The 17,590-nt window shown below is 43.9% G+C and overlaps 1 protein-coding gene and 1 pseudogene across 13 annotated transcripts in view; both read right to left on the bottom strand.

Moving 5' to 3' along the window:
- Positions 1 to 17,590, bottom strand: part of PARN (poly(A)-specific ribonuclease) — a 194,560-nt gene that overhangs the window by 153,519 nt on the left and 23,451 nt on the right. For 12 of the 13 annotated variants that reach the window (XR_007064884.1, XR_007064882.1, XR_007064881.1 and 9 more), the window contains 4 exons: positions 17,265 to 17,307; positions 14,927 to 15,007; positions 10,685 to 10,741; positions 4,082 to 4,159 (listed from right to left, as the gene is read on the bottom strand). Coding sequence is in view for 9 of the 13 variants with exons in the window: in NM_001134477.3 (NP_001127949.1) it covers positions 4,082 to 4,159; positions 10,685 to 10,741; positions 14,927 to 15,007; positions 17,265 to 17,307 (259 nt within the window). In the remaining 4 variants the exon portion in view is untranslated. The remainder of the gene's footprint in view (positions 1 to 4,081; positions 4,160 to 10,684; positions 10,742 to 14,926; positions 15,008 to 17,264; positions 17,308 to 17,590) is intronic. The other variant, XR_007064883.1, reaches the window with a different exon arrangement.
- Positions 12,604 to 12,875, bottom strand: RN7SL274P (RNA, 7SL, cytoplasmic 274, pseudogene; annotated as a pseudogene).

Genomic DNA, 17,590 nt, shown 5'->3' on the forward strand with positions numbered 1-17,590 from the left:
AAAAAGTCAAGAGAGGAGCTGCTACTTTGATCTACTTGGCCAGTAAGAAGTGGGTGATCTGGCCAGGTGTGGTGGCTCACATCTATAATCTTAGCACTTTGGGAGACTGAGGTGGGCAGACTTCTCTTGAACGCAGGAGTTCGAGAGCAGCCTGGGCAAATGGTGAGATCCTGTCTCTACAAAACTTTCAAAACAATTAGTGAGGCATGGTGGCATGTGCCTGTGGTCCCAGCTACTCGAGAGGCTGAGGTAGGAGTATCACTTGAGCCCAGGGAGTTGAGGCTGCAGTGAGCCAAGATGGCGCCACTGCACTCCAGCCTGGGTGACAGAGTGAGACACTCTCTCAAAAAAGAAAAAAAAAAATGGCCGGGCATAATGGCTCATGCCTGTAATCGCAACACTTTGGGAGGCCCAGGCAGGCGGATCACCTAAGGTCAGGAATTCGAGACCGGCCTGGCCAACATGGCGAAATCCCGTCTCTACTAAAAATACAAAAATTAGCCAGGCATGGTGGCAAGCGCCTGTTAATTCTAGCTACTCAGGAGGCTGAGGCAGAAGAATCGCTTGAACCCAGGAGACAGAGGTTGCAGTGGGCCAAGACTGCACCACTGCACTCCAGCCTAGGTGACAGAGTAAGACTCCATCTCAAAAAAAAAGGTGCGAAAGTGAAGAAAAAAGAAAAGAAAAAAACAGAAGTGGGATGACATAAAATAAACATTAGCTCATTAGACTTAAGAAACGCAAATCCAGGCCAAGCCCGGTGGCTCACACCTGTAATCCCAGTACTTTGGGAGGCAGAGGCCGGTGGATCCCCTGAGGTCAGGAGTTCAAGACCAGCCTTGCCAACATGGTGAAACCCCATCTCTACTAAAAATACAAAAATTAGCTGGGCATGGTGGCGGGCGCCTGTAATCCCAGCTACTCGGGGGGCTGAGTCAAGAGAATCACTTGAACACAGGAGGCCGAGATCGCACCACTGCACTCCAGCCTAGGTGACAGAGTGAGACTCCATCTCAAAAAAAAAAAAAAAAAAAAAAAGGTAGGAAAGAGAAGAGAAAAAAAAAAAAAAACAGAAGTGTGGTGAGTGACATAAAATAAACATTAGCTCATTAGACTTAAGAAATGCCAATCCAGGCCAGACGTGGTGGCTCACGCCTGTAATCCCAGAACTTTGGGAGGCGGAGGCGGGTGGATCACCTGAGATGAGGCGTTCGAGACCAGCCAGGCCAACATGGTGAAATCCCGTCTCTACTAAACATACAAAAATTACCCGGGCATGGTAGCAGGCATCTGTAATCCCAGCTCCTCAGCAGTCTGAGGAAGGAGAGTCGCTTGAACCCAGGAAGCGGAGGGTGCACTGAGCAGAGATCACACCACTGCACTCCAGCCTGGGCCACAGAACAAGATTCAGTCTCAAAAAAAAAAAAAAAAAAAGAAATGCAATTCCATACCTTTTACACTTGTTTTGAGACCCACAACTATGAAGTCTTTGAGTCCTAAAAGGTGTTAAAAGGTGATAGAGCTGTCTTAAACAGTGATGACAACCTAAATTTTAAGAAATACAAGGGGAGCAACTGACCCACTCATGACGTCTGTATTGTACTTTTTTAAAGGAGGGTAATCAAAATGCTGACGGAACAATGGGACCTAAGAAATGTGAAGTAACTGAAGGTTTACAGATGTATAAGTGAGACTGAACTCTCAAGCAGGTGTCTTCCAATCTAGAAGTAACAAAATATTAATCTTTTAGCTGGGCGTGGTAGTGCACACCTGTGGTTTTACCTATTTGGGAGGCTGAGGCAGGAGGACCGCTTGAGCCCAGCACCCTGAGATCAGCTTGGACAAAAGAGTGAGACCTAGTCTCTATTTTATTAAAAAGATATGGGGAAGGCCGGGCACAGTGGCTCACACCTGTAATCCCAGCACTCTGGGAGGCCAAGGCAGGCAGATCATGAGGCCAGGAGATCGAGACCATCCTGGCCAACATGGTGAAACCCCATCTCCACTAAAAATACAAAAAAATTAGCAGGGCGTGGTGGTGCACGCCTGTAGTCCCAGCTACTCGGGAGGCTGAGGCCGGGGAAACACTTGAACCTCGGAGGCGGAGGTTGCAGTGAGCCGAGATTGCACCACTGCACTCCAGCCTGGCAACAGAGTAAGACTCCATCTCTAAAAAAAAAAAAAAAAATTATTTAAAATAAGAAAAAGATTAGTCCAGTGGCATACTATGGTCCATAGGCCAAATACAGCCAACCAATTATTTTGTAAATGAAGTTTTATTGCAACACGGCTATGCCAATTGGTTTACGTATTCTATGGCATTTCGGGGCTACAGTGGCAGAGCTAAGAGTTGTGACAGAAACTATGCAGCATGGAAAGCTGAAAATATTTTACTATCTGGCCCTTTATAGAAAACGTGCCAACGTTCATTTTAAAGGATGGGCTGAAGGTTGAAGGGGGACAGGAAATGCTGCCTGGAATTTGCTAAACTCAAAGATGAGAAATAAGGCCGCTTGCAACAAAAATAAAAACAATCAGCTGGGCATAGTGGCTCACACCTGTAATCCCAGCACTTTAGGAGGCTGAGGCGGGCAGATCAGGAGGTCAGGAGATTGAGACCATCATGGCCAACACAGTGAAACCCTGTCTCTACTAAAAATACAAAAAAACTAGCTGGGCATGGTGGCACGCACCTGTAGTCCCAGCTACTCGGGAGGCTGAGGCAGGAGAATCACTTGAACCCAGGAGGCGGATGTTGCAGGGAGCCGAGATCATGCCACTGCACTCCAGCCTGGTGAAAGAGTGAGACTCCATCTCAAAAAAAAAAAAAGAATCCAGATGTGAGAGAGGGCATGGAGATAAAATCGTCAGAATTTTGGAAATGACCAGATCTGGAGACAGAGCAAGAGTCAAAACTGATGCTAAAAACAGGGTTGGTAACTGGGAATCACTTATAGTAATGGGATGAGGAGAAAGAAGTGGTTTGGAGACAGTAAGAAAGAAAAGAAGTACAAGTTAAATATCTCATTTGAGCCACGTCAATTCAAAACAACACTTAGTCTGGGGGCTATCCAGGTAGGGATGTCTGGAGTCCAGCATGAAATGTATACCTGGATCTGAACAGAGACCACAGCTGGGGATAAAGATGTTGGTGTCTACAGCTGAAGCTGTAAAGTGAGTGAGATCACTAAAAGACAAAAAAGATGAAGAGGAAATAAAAGAGTGGAGCGCAGAGTGGCGAGGGACAAGTAACGTGAGGCCACGCAAACCGTATGGAGCAGAAGAGGGAGAGCCAGTAGAGGAACCAAAGCAGCTTGTGCTTTGGTCAACCAAGGCAACTTGGCTCAAGGACTGAAAAATGCACTACTGAGGTCAGCAGAGAATCTAAGGGAAGCAGCCTAGCAAGGGCGATCAAGAATTCTGTAGGACTGGACCCACTTCAGCTGCCACCACTTACCTTCAATGGCCCTGCTATGTCTAATTGTAGCAGGACCAAACTAGCAGCCCACACCTGTGGCCTGGGAATCCCTGCCCAGCACTAAATGAGCAAACCACTGGCATTAAGACAATGAAACAAATGTTTAATCTTCCTCTGGCAATGGCAGTGACTGAAGATCCCTTAATAAAAAAGTTTGTGGCCAGGCGTGGTAGCTCAGGCCTGTAATCCCAGCACTATGGGAGGCTAAGGCAGGCGGATCACGAGGTCAGGAGTTCGAGAACAACCTGGCCAATATGGTGAAACCCCATCTCTACTAAAAATACAAAAAGTAGCTGGGCGTGGTGACGGGTGCCTGTAATCCCAGCTACTCAGGAGGCTGAGGCAGGAGACTCGCTTGAACCCAAGAGGTGGAGGCTGCAGCAAGCCAAGATTGCACCACTGCACTCCTGGGCAACAGAGTGAGAATACATCTCAAGGAAAAAAAAATGTGCAACTGAGTGCATAAGATTCTCTCTGGGAACATGCTGCATACAAGGAAATGGCACCCAAGTAGAGGACAGTTCAGTTAAAAGCATCATAATAATATTTTTTCAGATAAAAAGAATCCTGCTAATATTAAACACAGACCAACAGGTCACTTACCGCAGGCAGAGGGCAGTAGAACTGATGAACTGTGTGCATGACGTCCAAGAGCATATTGTGTCCAATAACAAGTTTTCCCTAAAGAAAGTCAAGGTTAGAAAAAAGACTTCTACATTCGAAATTATACTGGGGTTTCAGAATGTATAGTTCAGATTCCAAGAGGACTTTGTACTAAACTCGCTTTCCAGACTTAAAAAAAAAAAAAAAAAAAAAAAAAAAAAAAGTACAAATAAGCTAATTTGGGCTGGCTTCATTCCTCCTCCATTTTGGAATGTTAAATCCAGAAAGCAAAGTGAAAGCACAAATGACTTTGATGTCACTGATCTTTTTCTTGAATTTTTATTAATTATGCCACCCTCATGAATCAGAAGTAGTAAAATTTTGATTGAAAAGTTTTTTTAAAAGTAAAATCTGGGCCAGGCACGGTGGCTCACAAATGTTATCCTACCACTTTGGGAGGTCAAGGCGGGTGGATCACCTGAGGTCAGTAGTTCGAGACCAGCCTGGCCAACATGGCGAAATCCCATCTCTACTAAAAATAGAAAAATTAGCCAGGTGCGGTGGTGCATGCCTATAACTCCAGCTACCCAGCAGGCTGAGGCAGGAGAATCGCTGGAACCCGGGAGGCAGAGGCTGCAGTGAGCCAAGATTGCACCACTGCACTCCAGCCTGGGCAACAGAGTGAGACCCCGTCTCAAAAAAAAAAAAGTAAAATCTGAAAGCGTTGACTCCCTTAAACTGTCAAATAATTTGGGAAAAAACTAAACACAAATTTTAGGGCTGCATCCTTTAAAACAACCCACTTATTTTAAAAGATACATTCATACCAATGCTAAAAGGTAAAAATAACTAATTTCTAACTATATTAAACAGAATTGCATTTCCTATATCATTATGTCAAAATTCATGGGGCATGTTCTTAAACACACATCCATTAAAAGTCACTGCCTTTCAGCCAACCGAAATACAATATATGTGCTGGCAGCCCTCTTCGTGCAATGGGCGGTGTGTCTGTCTCACACTATATGTGCAACAAATTAGTCCATTTTGATAAAAATTAAATTTCCAAAATGGAACATAAATTTAGATTTAGCCAGCCAGGTGACACCATTTTTAACATAAAACATCAGGGGCCGGGCGTGGTGGCTCACACCTGTTAATCCCAGCACTTTGAGAGGCCAAGGCAGGCGGATCACCTGAGGTCGGGAGTTTGAGAACAGCCTGCCCAGCATGGCAAAATCCTGTATCTACTAAAAACACAAAAAATTAGCTGGGTGTGGTGGCAGATGCCTGTAATCTCAGCAACTCGGGAGGCTGAGGCAAAAGAATGGCTTGAACCCAGGAGGCGGAGGTTGCAGTGAGCTGAGATCGCACCACTGCACTCCAGCCTGGGCGACAGTCAGACTCTGTCTTGGAAAAAAAAATCAGGTTACCACGATGGAGCTTTTACTATAACCCAAAGGACCTTCAGTGTAACACTGCTTGATTCATGGGACTACACATTAATTATCTGAAATAATCCTACACAAAATCTCCCAAATCTAACAGAGAAGCTGTCCTTTTGGCTCATTATTGGTGTACATTCTGAATACCTATGCTACGCTAAAATAATGAGCATTGATTGAAACCACAGAAAAGATGTGTAGGTAACCCCAAATGGAATGCAAACACTAAGAAATGAACCAAACTGTATTATAAATGACTACCATAACCACACTGAAGGTTAAGAAGAAACAAACTAACTTGGAAAAGAGCATCTTGACTAGATACTGTAAGGCTAAAAACAAAACGAATTGCACATAAATCATAAATGTTATCATTTCATCAATAAATGTACTTCTCGCGAGGTATGGGTTAGTAGCTCTGAAGCTACTTTATGTGTATACCGGGTTTAAACAAATAAACATAATGGAAGTAATAGAAACTGGATTTCTCACTGTTGAGAAAGAAGGCACAAATAAGAAAAGAGAGGAAGCTAAAAATAAGTCACGTGGTATTGTACTGGAATCTGAGGTATCAGTATAAAGGCATGCATACACCCATGCGCACACACACACAAACACACACACACTTATTTATTTAGAGACAGGGTCTCGCTCTGTTGCCCAGGCTGTAGTGCAATGGCACCATCATGGCTCAATGCAGCCTCAAACTCCCATGCTCAAGCAATCCTCCCACCTCAGCCTCCCCTACAGCTGGGACCACAGGCATGTGCCACCACTCCTGGCTAATTTTTTAATTTTTTTTTTTGAAATGCAGTCTTGCTCTGTTGCCCAGGCTGGAGTGCGGTGGCATAATCTCAGCTCACTGCAACCTCTGCCTTCCAGGTTCAAGAGATTCTCCTGCCTCAGCCTCCTGAGTAGCTGGGATTACAGGTGGCACCACCACACCAGCTAATTTTTGGATTTTCAGTAGAGACGGGGTTTTACCATGTTGGCTAGGCTGGTCTCAAACTCCTGACCTCACGTGATCTGCCCGCCTTGGCCTCTCAAAGTGCTGGGATTACAGGAGCGAGCCACCACACCCAGCCAATTTTTACATTTTTTGTAGAGAGGGGGTCTCCCATGTTGCCCAGGCTGGTCTTGAACTACTAGCCTGAAGCAGTCCTCCTGCCTTGACCTCCCTAAGTGTGGGATTACAGGGTTGAGCCACCATGCCCAGCTACATACACATTTATATAGATCCACACACACATACATATACAGAGAGACACAGAAATATAGCTGTGTGTGTACATGCCTAGGTCTACATACATATGGTTCTTAGTTCTGTCCAGTGAGAGGGCTTAGAAGCAATAATATCACCTAGGGCCAGAAGCAGTAACCTAGGGCCAGATCTTGGTTTCTAAACATCATTCCCCATTAAGAGGAACCAGAGCTCCGTGGAGAAGTCATTCATTCCATAGCTGAGCCAGAGAAACTACAAGAATACCAGAAAGCAAAGAAGTGCTCAGAAAAGGATGGGGGGCTTGTTCAGAGGGCACAGGAGCCAAGTCAAAGAAGCTCCAATGGCCAAAGGTGGTACAATTTAAGCAACAAAGTAAACAGTAAAAATCCTAGATAATAATCTAGTATTATTATTAATACTAATAATTAAAAAAAATCCCTGAGTCCATACATATACATAAAAACCATTAAATAAACAAGGGAAAGGGCTGGGTGTGGTGGCTCGTGCCTATAATCCAAATACTTTGGGAGGCTGAGGCGCGGGAGACTGCTTGAGCCTAAGAGTTCAAGACCAGCCTGGACAACATAGGAAGACCCCTTCTCCACAAAAAAAATATATATATAAAATTATCCACGTGTGGTACTGCATGCCTGTAGTCCCAGCTGCTCAGGAGGCTAAGGAGGAGGGAGGATCGCTTGAGCCCGGGAGGTAGAGGCTGCAGTGAGCCAGTGTACTCCCAGCTTGGGGAACAGACAGAGACTGTGTCTCAAAATTAAATAAATACATAAATAAACAGGGGAAAAGGACATTTTTTTCTTTCCTTTTTTTTTTTTTTTCGAGACAGGGTCTCAACTTTGTCACCAGGCTACAGTGCAATGGTGCAATCTCAGGTTACTGCAACCCCCGCCTCCTAGGTTCAAGCGATTCTCCTGCCTCAGCCTCCCAAGTAGCTGGGATTACAGGTGTGTGCCACCACGCTCAGCTAATTTTTGTATTTTCATTAGAGATGGTATTTCACCATGTTGGTTAGGCTGGTGTCGAACTCCCGACCTCCAGTGATCCGCCCCCCTTGGCCTCCCAAAGTACTGGGATTACAGGTGTGAGCCACCATGCCCAGCCCATTTTTTTCTTTATAGAAGAATTCCAAGAATAAATGTAGAAAGGACGAAGGAAATATAAACTTGCCATTAGAATACCACAGTAATAACTGCTACAGGCAAGATATGCTGATAGACGATAATATTAGTAGGCAAAGTTTGAGGGAAAACAGGATTTTCATGGTCTCAAAGTATCTCCCCCAAGATATTCATAAACTATAAAGTTAAACTATATAGTTAATTTAACTATAATTTAATGACATAGTTAACTTATTAACTATAAAATTAATTTCACAGAACACAAATCCAGCCAACACCACCTTAACCAAGCGATCAAGATCAACATCACGGGCAGAGAATGGTGGCTCACGCCTGTAATCCCAGCATTTTGGGAGGCCAAGGCAGGCGGATCACGAGGTCAGGAGACCGAGACCATCCTGGCTAACATGGTGAAACCCCGTCTCTACTAAAAATACAAAAAAATTAGCCTGGTGTGGTGGCAGGCGCCTGTAGTCCCAGCTACTCAGGAGGCTGAGGCAGGAGAATGGCGTGAACCCAGGAGGCAGAGCTTGCAGTACGCCAAGATCGCGCCACCGCGCTCCAGCGTGGGCGACAAAGCAAGACTCCATCTCAAAAAAAAAAAAAAAATTGATCGACATCATGAACCATCATTTCTGTGGTATTCTTGCCAAACCATATATCCTCAAATCAGTCATGAGAAAATGTGAGACAAATTCCAACTGGCGGACTTCTGACAAAACAGCAATCAATACCATTCAAAAGTATCCAAGTTATACAGCCGGGCATGGTGGCTCACACCTGTAAACCCAGTATCTTGGGAGGCTGAAGAAGGCAGATTACTTGAGGTCAGGAGTTCGAGGCCAGCCTGGCCAACATGGTGAAAGCCCGTCTCAACTAAAAATACAGAAATTAGCCAGGCGTGGTAGCAGGCACCTGTAATCCCAGCTACTTGGGAGGCTGAGGCAGGAGACTTGCTTGAACCCGAGAGGCGGAGGTTGTGGTGAGCCAGGATTGCGCCACTGCACTCCAGCAGGACAACAGAGCGAGACTCCGGCTCAAAAAATATATATATATATATATTTAAGGTATGGGATTTACGCATCTTATTTTACTTTAGTCAACTTTCATTCAAGACTCAAAAATTTTAAATGTCCGGATCGCTAATAAACAGGGCTTTTTGGTAGTATGCTTTGGGATGTTGACTACCAACGGTCAGCAACATGTTATGAATATTCTGTAGAAGAAAGATGTCAGAGAAAAGAAAACAGGTACAGCAAGCTAAGGTATCCGAATGTGTATAAGACAAACAAATGTCCAATCTTGGAAAAGCTGACTGAACTATCATGACGGCTACAAAAGAGCTCAAAACCAACTTATGTTCCGTATCTCTGAATTTTAGGGCCCGCCTCAATCAAAACCACCACTTATCTGAAGTCTGCTGGCTAGGTGTGCACAACATGAGCAAATGGAACCAGAAACTCAACTCTGCTTTTCTGGATACCTGTAATCTCAGCCACTGCTGAAGAGGCTCACAGCATTGTTTCTCTCCGGATCTTTCCAACTTTCTATTCGACTTTAATCGCCCCACTTACTTGAGCAAGAGAAGTCCTCGTGAGCCAACCCTCTTCTTTTACAAGGCTCTGTAAACCTCTGTTTATCCCGGAATGAGGACAGCAGGGGCCTTCCCTACAGCGCCCCTGTGTTTACAAGCCTGCAGCTGGCAGTGAGACAGCATGAAACCTTGAGAGGGTTTCTATGGCCTTAAAGCTTCCCTGATGCAAAGTTCAGCATCTAAGGTATAAGATGATTCCTTCTCCCAGGCCAACTGCTCAAATAAGAGAATGTCCTAGACTACAGGCAATTCAGCATCCAAGCAAGCTGTCTAGAACAACCAGCAGCATGACCTAGTTTACCTATGTAAAATGCGGATGCCTGTTTTCTTTCTCCTCTTCTTTTTTTTTTTTTTTTTTTTTTTTGGAGACAGGGTCTGTCTGTCACCCAGGCTGGGGTGCAATGGCGTGATCACAGCTCACTGCAGCCTTGACTTCCCGAGCTCCAGCGATCCTCCCACCTCAGCCTCCCAAGTAGCTGGAACCACAGGCATATACCACCACACCTGGCTAATTTTTGTATTTTTGGTAGAGATGGGGTTTCCCCATATTTCCCAGGCTGGTCTCGAACTCCTGAGCTCAAGCAATCCATCCTTATCGGCCTCCCGAAGTGCTGGGATTACAGACATGAGCCACTATGCCCGGCCGCCTGTTTTCAGAAAGGCCTCACAAAGCAAGGAAAAACACCCATCATATCTATCATAGAGTCCCCTAGCACATTTACACAAATGGCCAATATCTTTTTAAAACATATCAAATATTATTAAGAATAAGATTCAATTACACTTATGTAGCACTAAACAAAGACATCATTATTTTTACCCTCTAGATTCTTCTACTTAGGGAACAAAACACCTTCAGTCAAATATCTGATTGTTTCTCCCCTTATTCCTTACTTTCTTTTTCGACTTCTTACTGGTTTTGAAAATAACTCTTGGTTTCCATGTAGCCATATAAGGACAACATAGTGTAACCCTCCTATGCATTTTTCAAGCAAGGCTCCCTGAAAATTGATTTGAATATAATTTAGCAATTATGCCTCACCAAGTGCATTATAACAACAGTCTATCTTGATGAAGTTCTAACTTCTTAGAATGTTCTAGGTAAACATTCTAAAGGAGATGAAATGATTAATCTGCAATGATAATTAGATACTTCACCTGAAATAGTATGTTCTGCAATCTTGCTAAAAAGTCTGGCTCACTTACCGAATTAGCAATGGCGTGAATGACTCTAGAAAATCCCACAGCATCATTCAGCTCCTCCTAATTAAAAAAATATATACATATGTATTATTGATGTATAAATATTCCTTATGTGAATTAAAAAACTACCCCAAAAAAAAGACACTGAAATTTTGTATCAAGTTAGATAGCTTTAGTTTCCTGTGCTTTGCGCCTATCTTCCCAAACATTTGCATCTAAAATGATCTACGTACATACTTTTCTTCTATTTTAGAAAGTAGAATGAACAAATGGAAAATTATTCATTAGTTACTAAAAGAACAATGCTTAGGGTTTATCCATCACTTCACCGACTTCTTTAAAATTTCCAAGTCTTTCAAGGTGTCTTAAAAACAGTAACTTAAAAAGTTGCCACCTGCAGGCTAAACTCAGTAACACATTCAATTCTGAGGAAACCCATCTGGCAGTTAACTGATCAAATCAAGTATTTTCATAATTCCTGATTTTTTTTCCTCGAAAAATACATTTTTACAAAATTCTCCCACCCACCTTCTTCTCTCCTATATTCTTTCCAGCAGTGTTGAAAGAGGCTCAGTGTCTCTCTTATCTTGAAAACCCTCCCCTCCTCTAAGATCTCTCAGACTACTGCCCCTTCTACTTGTCTCATCAAAGCTAACTTGCTTTCTCCAGTTTAACTCCCAGGTGTTCCCAGCCCTCTGGCTTCATGCTCACTGAAATTGCTCACCTCCTTAAAACTAACCCCAACACTGGCTGGGTGAAGTGGCTCACGCCTGTAATCCGAGCACTTTGGGAGGCAGAGGCAGATGGATCACTTGAGGTCGGGAGTTCGAGACCAGCCTGACCAACATGGTGAAACCCTGTCTCTACTAAAAATAAAAAATTATCCGGACGTGGTGGTGCATGCCTGTAATCCCAGCTATTCCAGAGGCTGAGGCAGGAGAATCGCTTGAACCCGGGAGACGGAGGTTGCATGCTGTAAGCCAAGATCGCACCATTGCACTCCAGCCTGGGCAACAAGAGCGAAACTCCATCTCAAAAAACAAACAAACAAACAAAAAACTAACCCCAAGACTAACAAGTATTTGCAAGGATGTAGAGAAACTGGAACCTGTGTGCCGTTGATGAAAATGTTAAACAGTGCAGCAGCTAAGGAAAACAGTATGGAGGCTCATCCCAAAAAGAATTCCCATATTACCCAGCAATTCCATTTCTGGGTATATACCCCAAAGAATTGAAAGCAGGGACTCAAATAGGTATATGCATACCTAAATTCACAAGAGCATTATTCACAATAGTCAAAAGCAACCCAGGTGTCCACAAACAAATGGATAAACAAAATGTGGTCTAGCCACACAATGGAATATTATTCAGCCTTTAAAAAGGAAGGAAATTCTGACACATGCTATAACATGGGGAACCTTGAGGCTGCTATGCTAAGAGAAATAAGCCAGTCACAGGAGGACAAATACTGTACTTATATGAGGTACTCAGAGTGACCAAATTCATATGACAGTAAGTAGAATAGTGGTTGCCAGGGGCTGGGTGTCAGGGGTGGGAGATGGAGAGCTGCTTGATTAGTACAGTTTCGGTTTTGCAAGATGAAGAGAATTCTGGAGATGGATGGTGGTGATGATTGCACAGCAATGTTAAACTACTTGATGTCACTGAACTATACATTTAATAGTTAAGATGATAAATTTTGTTATGTGTATTTTACCACAATTAAAATTTTTTTGGGGGGGTCAGGCATGGTAGCTCACGCTGGTAATCCCAGCACTTTGGCAGGCTGAGGCAGGCAGATCACCTGAGGTCAAGAGTTCAAGACCTGCCTGGCCAACATGGCGAAACCCCGTCTCTACTAAAAATACAAAAATTAGCCGGACGCAGTGGCATGCACCTGTAATCCCAGCTACTCGGGAGGCTGAGGCAGGAGAATCGCTTGAACCCGGGAGGCGGAGGTTGCAGTGAGCCGAGATCATGTCACTGCAAGCAAGGCTCCATTTCAAACAAAAACAAAAATTGCTTTTTTGGTTTTGTTTTTTGTTTTTGAGACAGAGTCTCACTCTGTTGTCCAGGCTGGAGTGCAGTGGCGTGATCTCGGCTCACTGCAACCTCCGCCTCCCGGGTTCAAGCGATTCTCCTGCCTCAGCCTCCCGAGTAGCTGGGAATGCAGGCACATGCCACTGCGCCCGGCTAATTTTTTTGCACTTTTAGTAGAGATAGGGAAAAATTGCTTTAATTATAGTTTAAAAAACTACTGCCAGGGCTGAATCCAACAGCCATGTCTCAATACTAACCCCTACATGGGAGCTGACATTGCTGACTGCCCCTTTTTCTCTCCTCCCTTGGCTGTGTACCACAATAATCTCCCGGTACATTTTGTCGACTTCTGCCTATCATTTAAATGCTGTTGATCCTCAGGATTCAGCCCCAGGTCCTCTTCTCATTCCTCACGTACTCTGCAGTTGCTCTGATCCAGTCCCAGTCTCTCTGCCAATGACAATCATGCCTAGCCCTCACCCCTCTCCTGTGCTCAACACTGACAAACCTGCTAAGAGGACATCCACCCTTGCATGTCCTAAAAACACTCGAAACCTCATCAGGTCAAAACCAGAATGGAACATCTTTTTCCACTCTGGGGGAACATCTTTTTCCACTCTAGGGGATGCCATGGTGCCCTGGTGGCCTTGCATGTATCAAAACGGGCCATGCAGGTAAAGGCTAATCTGCGTCTTGGCCACAGACTCATCTGCGTCTTGGCACAACACATCAGGAGGGAAGGGTGGGAGGCAGAGGCTTCTAAGGAGCTGCTATGAGGCCAGCTCCCACCCCCTTCCCTGTCACTCCTGGGAGGCTGTCATGAAACAGTTCCTCATTGCCTCCTGGGTTCTGAGGAGGTGTGGGGCTCTCTGCCTCGCCCTCTCAGAAGAGAGCTGCAGAGTATCAAAGCCCTGAGCTGCAGCCTAGAACTCATCCTCAGTGAAGCCACATCACAAAACACATGCTGCAATCATCTCGTATCTTTTTTTTTTAAGACAAGGTCTCACTCTGTCACCCAAGCTAGAGTACAGTGGCATAATCTCAACTCACTGCAACTGCAACCTCCACCTCCCGGGGTCAAGCAATTCTCCAGCATCAGCCTCCCAAGTAGCTAGGACTACAGGCGCACGTCACCACACCTGGATAATTTTTTTTGTATTTTTTGTAGAGATGGGGTTTCGCTATGTTGCTCAGACTGGTCTCAAACTACTGAGCTCAAAGTGATCCTCCCACCTCAGCCTCCTAAAGTAGTGCTGCGATTACAGTCATGAGCCATCACACCTGGCCTCTAACTGGCACCTTTTGTTTCTGCGTTGTCCTTTTTAGTATGTGGGACAGGGACCACAGGCAGCACCTCTTGCTAATCTTTCCCTGTGTAGGTAATATGCTGTCTCCCAAAGTGGGTCATTGTGGTTAAGTCAATTAGGAGTGACCCTGCCTAATGTACATATGAGCATGACATTCATCCACATGCAAACCCACTCCTCTCTCCTCCACCTTTTCCCCCAACCGATGTCACTCCAGCCAACCCCTCCAAGTGAATGGAGTGCAGTCTACCCCGTTGTGCAAATGTCTGGCATGAGCATCTTCCTCCTTCCCCCTTCCTCCTCCACCACCCACATTCAGTCATAAATTCCATGGATTCTACCTTCCAAGTATCTCCAGATTCCATCTACACTGCTACTCACTATCCTACGCCAGGTCACCAACATCTCCTAGCTAGGTTACTCCACAGCTTAACTAGTCTCCTGCCTCCAGTCTTACTCACTCGAAACCATTCTTCACACAGCAAGCAGGGTGATGTTCCAACAGTACAACCTAAGCATGTCATCCTCATCTGTCAGATCATGTGCTCTGAACTTGGTTTAAGGAAAACTAGTAACTATACATGAAGTTAGACGTTGCAGTATTAAAGGATAGTGACACTCAGTGACACAAGCTAAATGAGAATCAAGAGTACTTTCTTCAGGACTGGTTTAAGTAGACACTGGTCATCAGTGACGTCAGACTCACTTTGCTAGCTACGTCTCATGCTTAAATCTAACTTCCCCTTATTCTAGTCCAGGTTTTTCTGCCAATTCCATTGTTCTATGAAAGAAAACTATTCATTAAATTGAATCCAACATATGATCTGAAATAGACAGGAATAAATCAATATTTATGTTGCCATTTCTCACCCCCCAAGAATTAACATAGCCCAATTACCTGTTCTTTGGCATGTTTCTGCTGCTCTCTTCTTTTGCGTTCTTCTTCATCTACTTTGCTGATAACTATATATCGCTCCTTCTAAAAGACATAAAGCAGATATACAATTTTCTTTTCTTTTTCTTTTTTTTTGAGACAGAGTTTCGCTCTTGTTGCTCAGGCTGGAGTGCAATTGCATGATCTCAGCTCACTGCAAACTCCGCCTCCTGGGTTCAAGCGATTATCTTACCTTAGCCTCCCGAGTAGCTGGGATTACAGGCTTGTGCCACCACACCCGGCTAATTTTTGTATTTTTAGTAGAGACGGAGTTTCTCCATGTTGGTCAGGCTGGTCTCAAACTCCCCACCTCAGGTGATCCACCCGCCTCAGTCTCCCAAAGTGCTGGGATTACAGGTGTGAGCCACGGTCCTGGCCACAGATATATACAATTTTCTAGAGACAACTTAATCCAAAAAATTCAGATTTCTGCTGCCATTAGAATTTTTTTTTTGAGACAGTCTCACTCTGTCACCCAAGCTGGAGTGCAGTGGCACAACCTCAGCTCACTGCAAACTCTGCCTCCCAGATTCAAGTGATTCTCCTGCCTCAGCCTCCAGAGTAGCCAAGATTACAGGTGCGCACCAATACGCCCAGCTAATTTTTGTATTTGTAGTAGAGACAGGGTTTCACCATGTTGCCCAGGCTGGTCTCAAACTCCTGACCTCAAGTGATCTGCCCACCTTGGCATCCCAAAGTGCTGGGATTACAGGCATGAGCCACCACACCCAGCCAGAAGTTGTAATTTTTGTAACCGCACACTTTTTTTGTATGTGTGACAGGTTATCACTCCCATTGCTCAGGCTGGAGTGCAGTGGCATGATCACAGCTCACTGCAGCCTCAAATTTCTGGGTTCAGATGATCCTCTCACCTCAGCCTCCTGAGTAGCTGGGACTACAGGCATGTACCACTATGCCTGGCTAATTTCTTTTTATATTTTTAGTAGAGACGGAGTTTCACCATGTTGTCCAGGCTGGTCTCAAACTCCTGGGCTCAAATGACCTGCTCATCTCAGCCTCCCAAAGTGCTGGGATTACAGGCCTGAGCCACCATGCCCAGCCACTGTAGTCTTTCATGAGCCAAATACAACAGAAAATACTTTGAAATGCCAACATAAGTTGAGCTAATGCATTACAAACCAAATTTTGTCTCTGTGTTTCCATGACATTTTCCTACGGTTTACTAATTCAACCCAACAGACATCAGTTAAAAATATCAACAGACTGTGAGAATAAGACATTTCCTATGACAAATACTAAAAAAGTTATATTGCATTTGAACATTGACTTCTGAAGAGTTTTAAAGTAAAATGTATATGTTGTATTAACATTAACAAAACTTACATATATATGTTGTATTACCATAAGAAAAAACTCTGGATTTTCTGCCAAAGTGTCAGATAACTAGTACTTTCTTTCTCATATATTTTGTGTCCACTAAAGATAAATTATCTACCAAGATTATTTTTCTACTTTATTTAATCTCTAATTTTATACCTGACTTAACAGCAACAACAAATTATAAAATTGAAAAACTGCAGAAGGAACCCACCACTAGCCACCCACTTCCCATCACAATTCTATCAGTGTACCCTGTGTACTCAGGACAATAGCTGTGCTTACGACCCAAATTCTAAAATTTAATTTTGTCTGCCCACGCAACATGAAGCCATTTCTTCACATGTACCATTATAGCTTTCTGCCATAGTAAGAATACAAACTAATATTTGTATACTTTCAAGTTTACAAGGCATCACTTCCACTTACCCACGGTATCACCATAAAAAGGCTATGAGAAAGTATAGATCACCGTTATCATGCTCAGTCCCAATGTACAGAAGAAAATTAGGCTTAAAGAGATCAAATGACTTACCCTAGGTTACCTAGCTCATAACAAGCACAGACAAGATACAAATTCTGACTTTCAGCACACTAAGGATTGAGCATGGTAGCTCAGGCCTGTAATCCAGCACTCTGCGAGGCCGAGGCGGGCAAATTGTTTGAGCCCAGGAGTTCAAGACTAGCCTGGGCAACAGGGCGAAACCCTGTCTCTACTAAAAATATAAAAAATTAGCCAAGCATGGTGGCACGAGCCTGTAGTCCCAGCTTGGGAGGCTGATGTAGGAGGATCACCTGAGCCCAGGAAGTCAAGGCTGCAGTGAGCCGTGACTAACCACTGCACTCCAGCCTGGGTAATCAGAGAAAGACCCTGAGGGAAAAAAAAAAAGAAAAAAAAAAGAAACCCCTAACAGTGTAACAATGGATGTGTTTAATGTTAGCCCTAGATAATTCTTGGGGTTACCTTTTCAGTTTCTAAAGTCTCAACATGAATGCCTTTCGGATACCTAAAGAAAAGAAAAACATAGTATCAGTAGATGAGTCAATGACAGCTAAATCCCAAAGTATTTTATAAGCAACTATCCAGCTACTAATTAAGTAAGTTTTATTAACTACAAAATAATTATCACTACAATGGAGACTTTACAGCACATTTATTTTATAACGTTTCAGCTGCTAAATGTTTCCTTACCCTTGCTCTTAAACACATAAACGTGGATTTGACTTCAAATTAATTTTTTTTAGGACTTAGGTATTTTCTATTTTTTTTTTTTTTTTTGAGACAAGAGT

The sequence above is a fragment of the Homo sapiens genome, chromosome 16 (genome assembly GCF_000001405.40).
Source record: "Homo sapiens chromosome 16, GRCh38.p14 Primary Assembly".
In the NCBI taxonomy this organism is placed as follows: domain Eukaryota; kingdom Metazoa; phylum Chordata; class Mammalia; order Primates; family Hominidae; genus Homo; species Homo sapiens.